The 16,939-nt window shown below is 40.0% G+C and overlaps 1 protein-coding gene across 44 annotated transcripts in view, besides 4 other annotated features; it reads right to left on the bottom strand.

Moving 5' to 3' along the window:
* Nucleotides 1–11,658, bottom strand: part of ALG13 (ALG13 UDP-N-acetylglucosaminyltransferase subunit) — a 79,480-nt gene extending 67,822 nt beyond the window's left edge. For 17 of the 44 annotated variants that reach the window (NR_148693.2, XM_011531028.3, XM_011531030.3 and 14 more), the window contains exons 1-3: nt 11,529–11,658; nt 10,534–10,696; nt 7,725–7,863 (exon numbers count right to left, since the gene is read on the bottom strand). Coding sequence is in view for 37 of the 44 variants with exons in the window: in XM_011531028.3 (XP_011529330.1) it covers nt 7,725–7,863; nt 10,534–10,696; nt 11,529–11,609 (383 nt within the window). In the remaining 7 variants the exon portion in view is untranslated. Of the gene's footprint in view, nt 1–2,655; nt 4,942–6,653; nt 6,692–7,724; nt 7,864–10,527; nt 10,697–11,001; nt 11,172–11,403 lie in introns of those variants that run through there. The other 27 variants (XM_011531031.2, NM_001257237.2, NM_001324293.1 and 24 more) reach the window with 21 other exon arrangements.
* Nucleotides 11,202–11,261: an enhancer, noted in NCBI's record as "active region_29860". NCBI's record gives its function as "activates an Ori minimal core promoter by ATAC-STARR-seq in GM12878 lymphoblastoid cells {active_cell/tissue: GM12878}" and the evidence as "EXISTENCE:reporter gene assay evidence [ECO:0000049][PMID:35858748]".
* Nucleotides 11,271–11,990: an enhancer, noted in NCBI's record as "NANOG-H3K27ac-H3K4me1 hESC enhancer chrX:110924066-110924785 (GRCh37/hg19 assembly coordinates)". NCBI's record gives its function as "activates a minimal SCP1, AML or CMV promoter by ChIP-STARR-seq in naive and primed H9 embryonic stem cells {active_cell/tissue: H9 hESC(naive and primed)}" and the evidence as "EXISTENCE:reporter gene assay evidence [ECO:0000049][PMID:30033119]".
* Nucleotides 11,282–11,331: an enhancer, noted in NCBI's record as "active region_29859". NCBI's record gives its function as "activates an Ori minimal core promoter by ATAC-STARR-seq in GM12878 lymphoblastoid cells {active_cell/tissue: GM12878}" and the evidence as "EXISTENCE:reporter gene assay evidence [ECO:0000049][PMID:35858748]".
* Nucleotides 11,402–11,591: an enhancer, noted in NCBI's record as "active region_29858". NCBI's record gives its function as "activates an Ori minimal core promoter by ATAC-STARR-seq in GM12878 lymphoblastoid cells {active_cell/tissue: GM12878}" and the evidence as "EXISTENCE:reporter gene assay evidence [ECO:0000049][PMID:35858748]".

Below are 16,939 nucleotides of genomic sequence, written 5' to 3'. Positions count from 1 at the left end.
GACCCTGTCTCAAAGGAAAAAAAAAATTGTTTGGTAATATCCTAAACCTTTCTCTATGTAAGCTTTTACTAGAAAACACTATAGTGCTTTTCATATACCTGATTTTTAACATCATGTTTTGCCACAAATCCCTGACAGGTACCATTATTTGACAGACCCTTAAATACCATTAAGATACTGCATAGAATCAGCACTGTTATATTTGGGATGCTATTCTTATATGTGCTTGATCCTACAAACTTACCATACAATATGATGGTCACATCTTCTGAACAAGAGACTTACTAGATACTTCGCTGTCAAATCAAAGTCAGTATGAAATAAATGTGTACAAGATGACAGTGTTTCCTAGAACAATACCTAATCCTAATCAAGACAATCAAAAAAGAGTACTAGGTTACAGAAGTGCATTCATCATTTATGGAAAGCCTACTGTGTTTCAGGCAAAGGACTCAAAAATGAGTAAGACATAGGTCCTTCAGAGCAGGAATCATGTCTTGGATCCTGCTGATACAAAAGGTAGATTCTCATTATGCATTTATATTAAAAGCCTGAATGATGAATACATAAGCTTGAGGTACTTAGGAAATAAAGCTGTGAGTGCTTGGAAACCAATTAGATATAAGGGGTTGGAGACAGAGTTAAAGGCTAGAAGAATGACTAAATGATGATACCATTAATAAAGATAAGCACCTCAGAAGAATGAAAAGAAATATGATTTCAGTTTGGGGCACACCTTGAGTTTGAGGTGCTTACAGAATTAACAGACAGACAGGGCCAAAGGCAATTGGAAATATCATTTAGGAGCCCAAATCAGAGTTGGGAGATACAGATAAAGGAGTCAACAGTAGAAGCTGTGGGAATGCTGAAAATTCCAAGAAAAGAAATAAAGCAAGGACCAAAATGAAACTTTAAAATACAACTAAGAAAAAAGAAAAAGATTTGTAAATAACTTGCAATCAGGTAAACCAATTGAAAGAGTTTCTCCACATGGATTCTACACATGGATTCTATGAGTAGCCATCACTGTGGTTTTTTAAGTAGCAATGTAAAAATTCAAAAAGGTTATACACCTATGGCTAGCATACCGTTACGCCTGTGGCTAACATACAATCTAAATTTCTTAGGAAAATCCTCTGATTTCAAATATTCTCTCCTACTGTCCCCATAAAGGATGGAAGTATACTGGAATTCAGTGTTCAAATTACAATTTCCACAACATCTCTTGGACCCTAAAATGAAATACAACTTTTTTCACATTATGTTATTTGTAGAATGGACAATACCAATTATTGCACAGGAATATTTAAAGATTAAATGAGTATATATGTGTAAAGTGCTCTGAATAGTACCTGATACATACTAAGCACTAGTGTTAACCAAAATTATTTTTCACTCCCCACTCCCCAATAAAAATATCGTATTACGGCCGGGTGTGGTGGCTCACGCCTGTAATCCCAGCACTTTTGGAGGCCAAGGTGGGAGGATCACCTGAGGTCAGGAGTTTGAGACTAGCCTGGCCAACATGGTGAAACCCAGTCTCTACTAAAAATACAAAAATTAGCCCCACGGGGTGACACATGCCTGTAATCCCAACTACTCGGGAGGCAGAGACAGGAGAATCACTTGAAACTGGGAGGTGGAGGTTGCACTGAGCCGAGATCACGCCATTGCACTCCAGTCTGGGTGACAGAGCGAGACTTGGTCTCAAAATAAATAAATAAATAAATAAATAAATGGTATTACATGTACAGCAGAAAATTGATCACCACATGGCTATCATGATGACCCTTTCCAAATGTTTCCCCAAAATTAATTTCAAATGATCTGTCCATGTGTCATTTCTCAGACTATATGAAGTGTTTTGGTCATCTCCACAAATTTTACATTTATGAACAAATCAGAGGAATTACGTGCTTATACCACAATAAAGGGCCAGGAAGAATATTTATATTACTGCTAGTCATTACTTAGTCTTGAAAAACTTCCTCAAACTAAATATTAAAGTGGCAAACAACCTTTTTGTACTCTTTTGTGCCTATATATGACTTGCCTTTAAAAGAATACAAAGTAGAGCCGGGTGCAGTGGCTCACGCCTGTAAAACCAGCACTTTGGGAGGCCGAGGCGGGCGGATTGCCTGAGCTCAGGAGTTCACGACCAGCCTGGGCAACACGGTGAAACCCCGTCCCTACTAAAATACAAAAAAAAAAAAATTAAAATTAAAAAGTAGAGGTCTAAGGTGTCCAAAATCAGATACTTGATGGTACTTGCAGATAATGACTACTTTTAAATGTTCCAGAACCCTATGTCAAATTCATTGGTTATACTATCTTACCAACAAATCCTTTGAGCTTTCTTTCCTCCCAAATTATAAGTATCTAAAATCCTTAATTCCCAAGGTCATCCCAAAACATCACATCTCTTTTCATCTACTCCAACCCGTAAATGTTCTATTAACTGTCTACCTCTTAATCTATCCATGGTGCAAATTTCCCAATGCTAAACTCTCTTTCATTTCCTTATCCCTGAAAATTTCAGTACCTCTAATAGAACACTGCTAAATAAACTGCATTCCACTTACTCATTAATATCAAGAACCTGCAGCTCTGTCATGTAATGAAACCAAACAAATAGAGCAAACATTTCAAACAGACTTTTGGTTACCATTCTTTAATAAGGACTAATAAGATGTAAATGTGGTGATTAATTTAGCATGTTTCCTCATCTGTAAAACTGGTGGTTTAAAATATTCTTTAAATTATCTCCCAACTCCAAAAGTCTACAATTCTGTCTTAAAGTCTTAATTTATTCAATCTACTATCAATCCTACCCAGAGCATTTTCCTAAATTCCAAAAACTCAGAAATCACAGATTTCTAAGTCCTAGGTAAGGTTGTCATACGCCAAAGGAAAACCCAGTTAAGTGTGAAATTCCTACTAAATAACTTCCATAAATAAACAAACAAAACCTACCTTGCAAGGAATTCGAGTAACTAAAATGAACACTAGGCAAACAACTATAAAGAAACAAAAAGCTTACAACATATATTATGCAGGGTAGAAAGAGCAGGGGACTGGGAATCAAGGAGCTGCTCCTAGGGGCAGTTCTGCCAAAAGCTATACTTTAAGCAAATGGTAAAATCTGAATATGATGGAATTGGACTAGATAATCTCAAGAATCCGTGCCAAATCAAAATGATTTTAAAGTCTCCTTTGACTTAAAAATCCAAAATCGATACAAAATTCCACAAAAGGGAAGTCAGAGGCGTTACTGCACACAATTGACAACAACGGCTTAAACCTCTGCTAAATGAAATAATGGAATTTAGGTTATGCATTATTCTGGGGAAGTAGATAGCAAAGGATTTAGGGGCTGTATAGCCTTTTAGTTGTCTGATATTTGAGTAGACCTTGCCTTTCATTTGTTTCTCTTTAATTCTTCATCATAAACTATAAAAACTAAGTGACCAACATAAAGTCACAATTTTCTCAAATGAGAAAAACGTATTTATGAGGGCCCAGAAAACACTAAAGATTCTCTCCCTGGATTTGAATAGGACCTTTCCTAAAACATAACATTGATATACAATTATGATTATGGTGCTGTGAATTCTCAACCAGATTACTCACTTTTTAGATTATTCTCAGCAAAATTTTAATCCAAGTTGGCTTCCTCCTGCTACCCAGAGTATTTCTTTGTCACCACCTTCTACCACTAGTAAGCATTTTTTTAATATTAGCCTAAATAAAACACAATCAGAAAAATAAACCTATAAAAACATGATAAAATGCATTCCAAATAAAATGTTTGGAACATTTAGCATGTTGGGATAATATGATTGGAATGGAAGAGAGGTCTTTATAGTGAATGTTCTATTTTGATAGATAAACTATATCTAAACATTGTACCAGAGAGCTATGGACACTTAAGGATAATCTACTGTAAAGGTCTTGAGACCACACACTCTAATCAGAAAGAACTTCATAATGTATCTTGCTCAAGTTAAGTCAATTTTAAAACCATATATTTAAGCCATTATATGCATCAGTTTATTGTTCATTCATAAAACTAATTTTATAAGCACATAAATTGTAAATTTCTGTTACAGTTAATGTTTCATTACCACTGTGAGAGGAGATCCTTAAAAAACAATAGTAAGTCCTATTGGTATAAGTCCTTTTTGATTATTCTTCTCAAACCAGTAAAGTTTTGACATTAGGCACGATTATTTTATCACTTTGTATGTTTTAGAAAAAAAAAGTGAATATATCCACTCCACTCTGTTCTTTAGGAAAAAAGTAGCTTTTCCAAGTACAAGAGATCAACTAACTTGATCATCTTTTTTAGGCAATGATTGAACTTTTCATTTCACAGAGCATAATCCATCATTTTTTAAATTTGGTTCCTTAGATTATAAAGCTAAAGATGCTAACTCTTATGTAAAATTTTTTTACATAAAAGTTGTTACTGTTTCATTTTTTTATTCTAAGGAGTATCAAACTAACTACATTTATAATCTTTGTGAAAGTTTTCAAATCTCATTCATTTTTATGATTCCAATTCCACTTGAGATTCTAGGAGAAAACCTGTGAATGCTCACTACATACTGAAGATTAGAAAAAAATCTAGTAATTTCACTAAACTGCAATTAGGATTTGGACCCAATGCAAATGTGCACAACATAAAATTTCCTATACATTCTATAGATGTAGGAAGTTTATTAATTATATTATTTTGTAAATATATATTATGTATTTAATTTGATTTAATCACATTACATAGGTTGAATTTGGGGGTTGCTTTTAAAGTGTTGAGAGTTTAGTGTTTATTTTTGTAATCCAACAACTTTATCCAAAAATGCAGAAAATTTTTCTGGCTGGCCAGGAGGATAACATTTCAGTGTTGATAAGTCCATTGACTGTAACAGCCCAGGAAGCGTGCTAAAACAAAAGAAGAAAAATATTAGGTAACATGGGAGAAAATTCCATACTTCATCTGCTGCCCACTGATGACTGAATCTAACTTCCAAGAATATAGTGGTACTTCTAAAAACTGCACATGTGAATTTTTATATATTTTAATAAGTATACATACTAGGATTATTAAAGCAATACAAAGAGTACTATAAAATGTCAATATAAATTCAGCAGATACCTTATCTCCTATGTCAACTGATATATTTCAGAAATGATATTTCATGAAAAATGTCTTCACATGGCTTTGTAATACTTCTCAGGACTGGGCATATTTAAACTGAAGCACAATTCATTCATGAAAACAGAATTTAAAAATTGAAACCAAAAGTAATAGCTGCCAGACAAGATAATAAGCTGGGGAAACTACTAGACCATGCATGAAGACTGTGAAATAATCTTTGCCAGTAATTTACTATCATAACTTCATATACAATTAAACAATATACCACACCACCATGTATGCTGGAAATAAGGTTTTAAACATAGAACCATTACATCGGAAATTTATTTAAACCAATCGCTTAAATTAGAACAAACATACTACCCCCCAGCCTAGGTCTGGGGAAAATAAATGATTTACCTAAAATGAAAATATAACCAATTATTGGCTGGGTGTGGTGGCTCATGCCTGTAATCCCAGCACTTTGGGAGGCCAAGGCAGGCGGATCACCTAAGGTCAGGAGTTTGAGATCAGCCTGACCAACATGGAGAAACCCCGTCTCTACTAAATATACAAAATTAGGCCAGGCATGGTGGTGCATGCCTGTAATCCCAGCTATTCGGGAGAATTGCTTGAACCTGGGAGGTGGAGGTTGAGGTGAGCCGAGATCGCACCATTGCACTCCAGCCTGGGCAACAAGAGCGAAACTCCGTCTCAAAAAAAGAAAAGAAAATATAACCAATCAATTACTGATTCTTTCTCACTGCTTACTGCTTTTATGTGACTTTCTTGAAATTAATATAGAAAAAAAGACATTTAAAACTGTAAAAAAATAAAAATAAAATAAATTGGAGACTTGTACAGTTTCCTTCCTTTTCAGCATGAGTAAAAAGTCAGGATATGTTTATGAAATCAGTGTTTTCCTTTTAATGTACTAACACAAAATCAAAGCTGATTTAACATTTAGAATGAAAATACTAATTAAAAGTATCTGGAAAAAATTGACTTGCATAAAGCAGTTAGGAAGATAAGTTTATTCCTCTTTAATCTAGCTTCTCTCCTGACTCACTAAATAGTTCAAGACTGGCTTCTATGTTACACAGCCACCCTGACATTCCCTCTTCTCCAACATTATAGTGATAAGGACACCAACAATTTCACTCCTGAAATAATCAATGAATCTGCCTCCTCTCAGTTAAGAACAGGAGTCTTTGTTTTGTTCACTGATGTATACCAAGTGCCTAGAACAATGCCTGGCACATAGAAGGTACTCAATAAATATTTAATGAATGAATAAGTATTTACTGAGTGCCTAAGAGACAGAAGCAGTAAAACTAAAAGAAAAATTATGCTCCAGCCAGTTTCTTCTCAGGTTTTTTATTTTAAAATTAATTTCATTTTACTATAATGTAAATAAATATATATATACACATATATAGTAATTCTATGAGGCATTTACTTCTTGCAACATCAAACTAGGATAGGTTTTAAAGTCAAACAAGTGGGAATTACTGACCTGGCCCTTTGGCAAGCTTCTAGTGTCTCAAGGAAGAACTAATAGAAAACAAACAAGTAATTTTCTTCATCCTTCTATTACGATGATCAGTTCCTGTTGAATTCTAATATACTTGTAGAAAATAATACTCCTTACCATAATTTCTCTGCTTAAAATACTTCAATGGCTTCTCAATAAACATGAATAAAATCAGAACTCTTACATAAGCTACCCCCACCCAACTTCATCTTCTATTATATTCCCTTGCTCACTATGCTCCTGCAACACTAATCTTCCCTCTGTTCCTCAAACACACCAAGCTCCAAGTTCATTCCTTACTTAGGCTTTTGCACTTGCTGTTCCTTCTGCCTCCAAATCTTCACATGACTGGCTCTTCCTTGTATTTCGGGTCTCAGATCAAAATGTTAGGTACTCTGCCAAGCCTTCTCTGACAATTCTAATCAGTCTTCACCCCAGCTACCACATCACCCTGTCTTACTTTCTTCATAGTACATTTCACCACATGAAATACCTTGATCATTTATTTGTGAACTTATTATCAATTTTCCACCACTAGAATGTAAGCACCATAAGAACAGGGACTTTATCTCATGTTTACTACTGTATCCACAGCACCTAAAACAGTGCCTTTTATATATTGGGTGTAACTGAATAAATGAAAGAGTAAATATAATTTAGGGATTTTAGTGGATTTACTATAGGCAAAACTTTTAACTAAAATGAGCAAATTGTCTTCCTTGAATAATGAAAATCTAAATAATGAACTCAAAATTTAGAACTCCAAAATTAGTGTCTTGGAGACATGCACGCCTAAATAAACACACATACACACACTCTCTCAGATATTCACATATGCAAAGAAACAGCCACAGATACACATAGAAATACAACACAGAGATTGCAAAATGGGAGACAAACAAATGGGAGGATTTTACAGCTGAGAAAATCAAAAGGTTTGGTAACTGGGAGAAGGTAAGAGGCAGAAGAGACAGATGGGTTAGGTAGGTGGATAAGAGGAAGTGCAAGGGACGAATTAAGGCAAGAGATAATAATAATCAGTCTCTAGCATACCTGCAGGTACAATAGAAGAGATGACCCTCTTTGTGTAGCTGCTTTGCCAGTTCCAGCTGATGATTGTTCATCAACTTTTCGTTTATAACCACTACGAGTGGCTTTCCTTTTTCCAGAGTCTCCAAACAGCTTCCTGCACCTACAAATATAAATCAAATTTGTTCAACACAATTTGAAATAAGTTAAGGTCCCCACGAAGCTTTATAGCTAGAAATCAAAAGTTAAAAAACTTAAGTTGACAGAACTACAAACTAGGTCTTTCAATTATACATTCAAAATGACAAGAGTATAGTTATCAGTTGCTCTCTAATAAAAAGTGCTAGAAACTTTATTTGAAAAATACATTACTTTATCACTGATGATGACATTATGGCCTATGATTCAGTGCTATGCTACTTGCTCTCTAGTACCAATGACCCTCAACTTACGATGGGGTATAGCCTTGTGACGGGGTATAACCCCATCATAAGTTGAAAACAGGCTAGGTGCAGTGGCTTATGCCTACAATCCCAACGCTTTGGGAGGCTGAGGTGGGAGGATCGCTTGAGCCCAGGAGTTCAAGACCACTCTCTGCAACATAGAGAGACCTTGTCTCTACTAAAAAATCAAAATAAAAACAAAAACAATAAGGCATGGTGGTTGTGGTCCCAGCTACTGGGGAGCCTGAGGCGGAAGGACTGCTTGAGCCCAAGAGTTGGAGCTTGAAGTGAGCTATGATTGCACCACTGCACCCTGTCTTGGGTGACAGAGTGAGAACTCACCTCAAAAAAAAAGGAAAAAAAAAAGCAGTTGAAAATATTCTAAATAGAAAATGCATTTAATACACCTAACCCACCACACATCACAGCTTAGCCTAGCCTACCTTAAACATGCTCAGAACACACTTACATTAGCCTGTGGTTGGGCAAAATCATCTAACACAAAACCTATTTTATGATAAAGTGTTGACTATCTCATGCCATTTATTAAATACTCCAAGTGTAAAACAGAATGGTTATATGGGTACTCGAAGAGCGGTTTCTACTGAATGTGTATGCGTATTGCTTTCACACCACCATAAAGTTGAAAAACTCTAAGTGAAACCATTGTACGATGGGCCATCTGGAGTATGCTTTGGGCATGGCCTTGAATCCAAATAAGATCCAGGTTTGACATACTGTATGTGAAACTATACTTCATTTCTATTCAACCCCAAGTAGAAAAGCAAGCCTACAATAGAGACAGACAGGCATCAATAATGAAAAACCCTGACCACTTCTTATGGGTTTACATGTGAGGTGCTATCCCAGAAATAGTCAAGGATAGATCTCCATGAATATGCAAATATAGAATATTAGGATCAATTCAATTTTGAAATGTAAAATCATCTAACTATTTTAAATGAGAGCAAGGAGATTGATAAGTGAGTAGATAAGTCCTTTTTGGGTATCTTATGCTAGGGTGGTTAGTTAACAACATTAACTCCGGAGGGGTGCAGTGGATCATGCCTGTAATCCTAGCACTTTGAGAGGCCGAGGCAGGTGGATTGCCTGAGCTCAGGAGTTTGAGACCAGCCTGGGCAACACGGTGAAACCCCGTCTCTACTAAAATACAAAGAAAAAAAAAATTAGCCGGGGCGTGGTAGTGTGCACCTGTAATCTCAGCTACTGGGGAGGCTGAGACAGGAGAATCGCTTGAACCCGGGAGGTGGAGGTTGCAGTGAGCCGAGATAGCATCACTGCATTCCAGCCTGGGTGACAGAGTGAAACTCCGTCCCAGAAAAAAAAAAAAAAAAAAATAGAAAGAAAGGAAAGGAAAAGAAAAGAAAAAAAGAACATAAACTCCAGCACCAGATTGTTATCTGTCCACCACTTCCCGGCTGGACAAATTACTTAACCACTCTTGTGTCTCAGTTTCCTCATGTGTAAAATGGAGATACTAACAGTACTTAGTTCACAGGATTGTTTAAAAAAGTAAAGTTAATATACACAAAGCATTCAGAGCAGTGCCAAAGGCTCTGTTACCTCCTAGGAGATACATTTTTAATCACGAATCTGTTGGTAATGTCTATTTCTAAAGACTTTTCTCTCCTCAAACTAGACTTTAAAAAAAAAAAAGAAAGGAAAAAACGAAACACCTTTCTTCACAACAGTCAAAACTGCATTGCTCCCCAAAAGCAGTTCTTCTGAATGCACTAGAAGTCTAATTAACTAGACCATCAGGGCGGTCCTCTGAAGAGGAAACAATTTACACAGTATGTAGCTGTTATTATTTTTGACTGGATTCATTTCACTCACATTCAACAGAAATGTAAACAATCTTACAATTCCAATTTCTCCATGACCAATCCAACCAATCAGCAGGCAGAACACTCCTTTAGATCTAAGCCCAAGTACTAATGTCAAGTTGACAATTTATTACACTTCCCCGGGTAAATTATTTTGCTCCTCTGTGTTTAGGGTTTTTTATTGTAAAGGTGGACTACAGTGGTTAATTTCCCATTCTTCTCTCACCCCAAAATACTAAGTTCTCTCCAGTAAAGTTCTCAATTGTCATATTCAAATAAGTTGTGTATTCAAAAAGGGCTACAGTGAGTTCAGCTAGCGATTTTATTTTACCTCGAAAAGGTTCAAGTGTCAGTTCCTTATTGGAGGGAGAGCATCAGGATAAAAAGCTAATGGATGCTGGGCTTAATACCTAGGTGATGCATGGCACACGTTTACCTTTGTAACAAGCCCGCACATCCTGCACATGTACCCCCAGAATACCCCAGAACTTAAAAAAAATTAAAATTAAAAGACCCAACCCTGAGATTCTTAGGCACCTTTACCTGCGTGACTAATAACAAGATCTGCTTTCTGAATGTCTTCTTTCAAGGAATCCTTGTACCTGTAAACATCCAGAGTAAACGACTCAGTACTGAAGGGTTCAGGTACCACCGTTCCTCTACCAATTTGCAGGATAAGTCGGTTGTAACCAAGGCTCTCGATTTTCTGAAAGAGGAAATCAGAATGTGAGGGCCTTTTAAACTGGCTATGTAAAACAGAGCAGGAACCACCACCACTACTAAAGTTTGACGTTAACATCGGAGCACGGCCGCCAAAAAGCCTATCTGTGGCCGATTTCACTTAGTTTTCAAAACTATTTTCTGGTCCGGGGCCCGACGAGGAACCTCCCAAGCACTCATGAATCTAAGCGACCCAGCTCGCAGAGTCCCGCGAAAGCCACAGCAGGAAAAGACTTTGGAAAAGGAGTCGCAAACTCGGGGGGAACCCAGGCACTACCCGTTCTGCCTCACTTGATCAACTGCGAGAACCGGGAGCCCTGAGGGGACGACGCGCGCTGAGGAGAGGAACCGCGCGGGCTCCGGCCAAGTGCTGAGGGGAAGGAGCCGGGCTCTGAGGCGAGCTCGGCTGGCTCAGACGCCGGCGCCGACGTGCGGTCCACAGGGGGGCCTGAGGAAAAACTGCCGAGCCCGGTGGAAAACCCGAGCTCGGAGGGGCGGAGCCGTTGGAAGGAGGGGCGGAGGACGCGGAGGCGGAGAATAGAGCGCGGGGGCAGACCGGAAAAGGAGCTGAAGAAATGAGGGAGAGGAGCGGCCGGAATAATGGGAAGAGGAAACAGGCAACCCCGAGTGGCCGGGTAGCCGGAGAAGGGCCCCGCCGGGCGTGGGCAGAAGCCAGCTAAGGGGCAGCGGCACCTGTGGTAGAGTTGCGGGGGTTTCTTTCCGAGCGCGACGGTCAGGCAAGGCTAACGCGGCTGGCAGTATGGCCGGAGATGGCGGGTGGCGAGCCAAGCCGCCGCCTGCTCGCCTCCCTCACTCACTTGCAGACTGTCGGGCGCCGACACACACGCAATGAGGTCGTCAAAGCTGGTGGTCCCTACGGTAACAAACACGCACTTCATGGCGCGGGTTCCTCAAGCCCTGATCGCAAGGGCCGGATATGACGCAACTGAGGCCACGCACGTTGCAGTGACTGCCTTCTGTGAGGGAGGCGGAAATCCGTAATGGCCGCCAGGGGGCGGCGGGGCCCCGGGCTGTGTCACCGGTTGGGTGGGGCAAAAGACTATTGGTGGCCTAGGTACCAGCCACTGTTCTAAGCCCTTTATGTGTAGGAGCCAGCTCTTGAGACCCCTCACTATAAGGGAATGGGGAATTGCCAAATGTAATTAACTTTTTCAAAACTGATGGGTAAAAAAAAAAAACATCATACCCTAAGCATTGAGTTGGTGTCGTTGCGTGGGTACCACAATCTTTTAATGACAGACAAGTTTGAGATTTTTTTGTTTGCTGCCAGGTTTTGTCAAGATACATTTGAGAGATGGTTTTACTTCGAGTTGGCTAAGGGGATATGAAAAATAAAAGTGCCTTACCAGGCACAGTGGCTGTAATCCCAAGCTACTGGGAAGAATCACTTGAGCCCAGGAGTTAAGACTAGCCTGGGCAACATAGCAAAACCCTTGTCTCTAAAAATATTATTTTTTAGGCCAGGTGCCATCGCTCAAGTATGTAATCCCAGCACTTTGGGAGGCCAAGGCAGGTATATTATTGAGGTCAGAAGTTCCAGACCAGCCTGGGCAACATGGTGAAATCCTGTCTCTCCTAAAAATACAAAAATTAGCCGGGCGTGGTGGCAGGCTCCTGTAATCCCAGCTACTCAGGAGGGTGAGGCACGACAATTGCTTGAGCCCAGGAGACAGAGGTTTCAGTGAGCCCAAGATCCTGCCATTGCACTCCAGCCTGGGTGACACAGAATGAGACCCTGTCTCAAACAAACAAAAAAAATTTAATTAGCCGGGGGTGGGAGCACCCACCTGTGTTCCTAGCTAGTCAGAAGGCTGAGGCTGCAGTGAGCCATGATCACACCACTGCACTGCAGCCTGGACGACAGTGAGACCCCGTCTCGAAAAAATAAAAAAACTAAAAATAAAAGGCATCTTATAAGGTATGGGGTCTTGCTCTGTTGCCCAGGCTTGATTCTAACTCCTGGGCTCAAGCAGTCCTCCTGTGGCAGGCCACGTCTCACTAACGGAGGCCTCCATAACAACTGTTTCAGTACTGAGTGGTGAAGTTAATATTAAAAGCTAAAAAAAGCCAGTGCCCTTATACAAAGGCTGGAATGTAACTAAAGCCCACCAAGAGTTTTGCCTAGGCCTTTCCTGGGCCCTAAAGCATGACAAAATAACAAAGGAAGTCTTAACATTACCCATTTAGGATTAAACAAGTTTTATTGTGGGTCTGAAGAAACTCCCCAGGCCTCCACAAACAAGTTTGTTGGGAGTCCGAAGGAACTCCCCAAACCTCTGTGATTTAGCAGGAGACAAGATAAGGGTAATCACGCCAGCACCTGGACTCATTTAGATTTTTTTTTTTTTTTTTTGAGACGGAGTCTCGCTCTGTCACCCAGGCTGGAGTGCAGTGACACAATCTCGGCTCACTGCAAGCTCTGCCTTCCGGGTTCACGCCATTCTCCTGCCTCAGCCTCTCAAGTAGCTGGGAATACAGGCACCCACCACCACGCCCGGCTAATTTGTTGTATTTTTAGTAGCGACGGGGTTTCACCATGTTAGCCAGGATGGTCTCGAACTCCTGACCTCATGATCCACCCACCTTGGCCTCCCAAAGTGCTGGGATTACAGGCGTGAGCCACCGCACCTTGCCGGACCCATTTAGATTAAGTAAATTTACTGAGGCTCCAGAGGAAGATCTTCAAGATTCAGACCTTATTTATAGATTAAAAGAAGTTAATCACTTATGTCTTTAGATGAATGCACACTTACATGTAGACATATAGCTTAGAAGGTATATAAGCTCTGGAAAACATCGTGATTTTGAGTTGGTTTCGTGATAATATCCAGGCCTTTTCCCTGTAAACAGTTACAGAAATAAAAACTCTCTTCCTCCACAGTTTATCTGCATCTTGTTATTAGGTCACGAGAAATAGCAGCCCCACCCTCAGTTTGGTCCGAGAGCACTCCCGCCTCCGCCTCCACCTCCCAAGTAGCTGGGACTACAGGTGCATCAAAAGTGGCTTTTAGAAAATCACTCTAACTGGCTGGGCACGGTGGCTCACGCCTGCAATCACAGCACTTTGGGAGGCCGAGGTGGGTGGATCACAAGGTCAGGAGCTTGAGGCCAGCCTGGCCAGCATGGTGAAACCCCATCTCTACTAAAAATACAAAAATTAGCCAGGCACGGTGGCGGGCACCTGTAATCCCAGCTACTTGGGAGGCTGAGGCAGGAGAATCACTTGTACCTGGGAGGCGGAGGTTGCAGTGAGCTGAGATTGTGTCACTGCACTCTAGCCTGGGCAACAGAGCAAGATTCTGTCTCAAAAAAAAAAAAAATCGCTCCAACTTGGGCTCTTCTACCAACTGTGGTTCTCAGAAAACCAGGGCCCTCTAGGGTCCCCTGGAAGCTGCAAACAGTTAACCTCCATTAGCAAGCATGACTTGTAAAATAGAGGTGATAAAGCCTGAAGCATTGATCTACAATCTATTGAATTATTCCAGTGAACCATTTAAATATAACATTACACATTAGGACGATAAAGTACCACAGATAAATTACACTTAGGCAGGCACATATAGGAGAGGTTATTTCTCAAAACTCTCCTTTTTTCTCCTACCACCATCATAACCATTGTTAAGATAATTGCTCACTCTATCTCCTTCTAATGTTTTGTGTATTCCCTATTTAAAATATCACCTTAGCTCATATTTGTGCTTTGCCCTGCCTGGATATATACAGAAGAGAGGCTGTGAGAAGAAATTATTTTAAGGAGGAAAAGGATTGGAGGTAAATTGGGCCTAGAACATAGCCTGAGAAGACCCTTGGGCCTATTTCTACAGGATGTTTCCTTTAAATCTTGTAGCTTAGGCAGTTGTCCTTTTGAAGAGTAGCATGCACAATGGCAGGAAAACTCACCAGCTGCCTTTCTGAAAGTGACATCCAACAGAGACTTCTGGTTGGGACTTGGAAACTACCCAATCAGGACTCAGCTGTTTTCAACTAATGGGGACTACTTTTGAGTTGTTTATTTGCATACACAAACTTGATTAAGGGCTGGGAGGAGAACTTTCCCTATTTAAGCCAGACCCACTCTTTGTTCTTCGGAGCACTTAGTTTACATTGGAGGCTGTGTTCCCCCATCTGCAGATCTCGGGCTCTTAGGCTGAGGTCTCCGAGACTTTGTTTTCTCCAGGGAGCATGTTCACTTGCCTCTATGGGCCCTGTGGGGTACACTCACACTTCGTGGAGTACTTTTGCATTTTGCAATGTACTTGTGCTTGGTGGAGTATGCTCACATTTCAAGTTTTGTGGGGACACTCATGTTTCTGTTGTACTCAAAGGGATGCCTTTGTTATAGTGCCATGGGTAACCCATGTTCTAAGGTAATGGTCTCCAACCAGCCACCTTATGGTGCACTGATGACTTTTATATTTAAAAACCTATGGAGAAAATTCTTGTGCCTATTTAAGGCTCTGGATGAAACTTTTGGATTTAAAACTTCTTTGGCTACATTGGGGAGCTTTCTGTATCCCTAATCAAATTTATTTATGCCTGCAATTAGAACAAAGACGAATCTAGGCCTCTCAAAGACAATATAAGGCTTTCCTTAATAGGTACTATGAAAACTCCAAATGGAATCAAGAATTTCAGACTGCCTTCTTGAGAGAAACTAATTCCGAACTCAGTGCCTCCAAAAACTTGAAAATCCTCCTAGCCCAGATTCTGTTCCCAAGAAGGACTCAAACCCTTTGTTCCTCTTCCTTTCACTCCCTCTGCACTACCTCTACTTTATTCTCCTCTGCCACTACCTTCTTCACTTTCTGAACCTCCTTTTTTCTCCTCACTGTCTATCCCAGGCACACTACCCATAACCCCTCAACTCCTCTTATTGCCCCATTTAAAATAAGTGAAAATGTAGAGGGAGGTCAAACCATTTCTTACATTCCTTAGTCTAAATCTGAACTCTTGGCGATTGTCCTAAAACTGACTTCCTTGAATTTGAATGCCACTTTCATTTAATCGTAAGCGCATACTAGCCCAGACTCACCAAAATCTATCAATTAATTCACATGCTGGGGGTCATTTTTGTGGCTCAAACATGTATATGCCTAACTAAATGGATAAAACCTCCAGAGGACTGCCATTTCAAAAGGGACATGGCCATAACAAAAGCAAAGAAAATAACCTGTGATTTGTTAAAGGTCATTCCAGTGCTTTTTCTCTGGCAAATTAATTGGAAAGCCATTCAACGATTCACTCAAAAAAAAGATGAGTCTGCTTAGATTATTTTGACTGGTTCAAAAAGGCTTTCCAAGCTGGGTGTGGTGACTCACACCTGTAATCTCAGCACTTTAGGAGGCTGAGGCAGGAGGATCACTTGAGGTCAGGAGTTCGAGACCAGCCTGGCCAACATGGCGAAACCCTGTCTCTACTAAAAATACAAAAATTAGCTGGGCATGGTTGTGCATGTCTGTAGTCCCAGCTACTGAGGAGGCTGAGGCACGAGCATCACTTGAGCCCAGGAGGCGGAGGTAGCAGTGAGCTGAGATGGCACCACTGCACTCCAGCCTGGGCAACAGAGCAACTCTGTCTGAAAAAATAAAAATAAAAAAAAAATCTTTCCAGCAAAATTCTGGTGTCAAGGACTTAACAGAGGATACCATTAATCTTTTTGATTCTAGTTTTCTTTCAGGGCTTAACTGAACTCTTAATGCCTTAGTCAAACAACATTACCTCAATTGGACCTTTAAGAAACCCCACGAAATTGCCTCCTTGGCAAACTATCTCTCTAAAACTTTGTAAAGAGACAAAGAAAGAATAAATAAGACACTTGATTATCAGGAAAAGACCACCACGTTCATGGCCCTACATATTCAGCAATTTAAAAAACAATCACAGAACCAAAATGTTCTCAAGAGTCTGGGAAACAGGATCTATTTCTTTCGCAAGGGCTTTTATCACTACAAAAGAGATTATGAAATATACAAATGATGGCTTCAGAAGAACCCAGATAAAGCTAAGAAAAATGCAAGCTTTTTCTTCATTACAAGATTGGGGTGCTTCAGGGAGATAAAGGCAATCTTCTTCCTTCTGTGAACCAGCTGAAGAAGGTTGGTTTGCAAATAAATAACAAATTGGTCCAGGCGTGGATAGATACTGGTGCCACACTCTCAGTGCTAAACTCCAACTCTTTTTTTCAGATCGCCTTCCCTAGAGTAGTCAA

Source organism: Homo sapiens, chromosome X (genome assembly GCF_000001405.40).
Source record: "Homo sapiens chromosome X, GRCh38.p14 Primary Assembly".
Classification (NCBI taxonomy): domain Eukaryota; kingdom Metazoa; phylum Chordata; class Mammalia; order Primates; family Hominidae; genus Homo; species Homo sapiens.
This window is presented reverse-complemented; position numbering and strand designations above follow the sequence as displayed.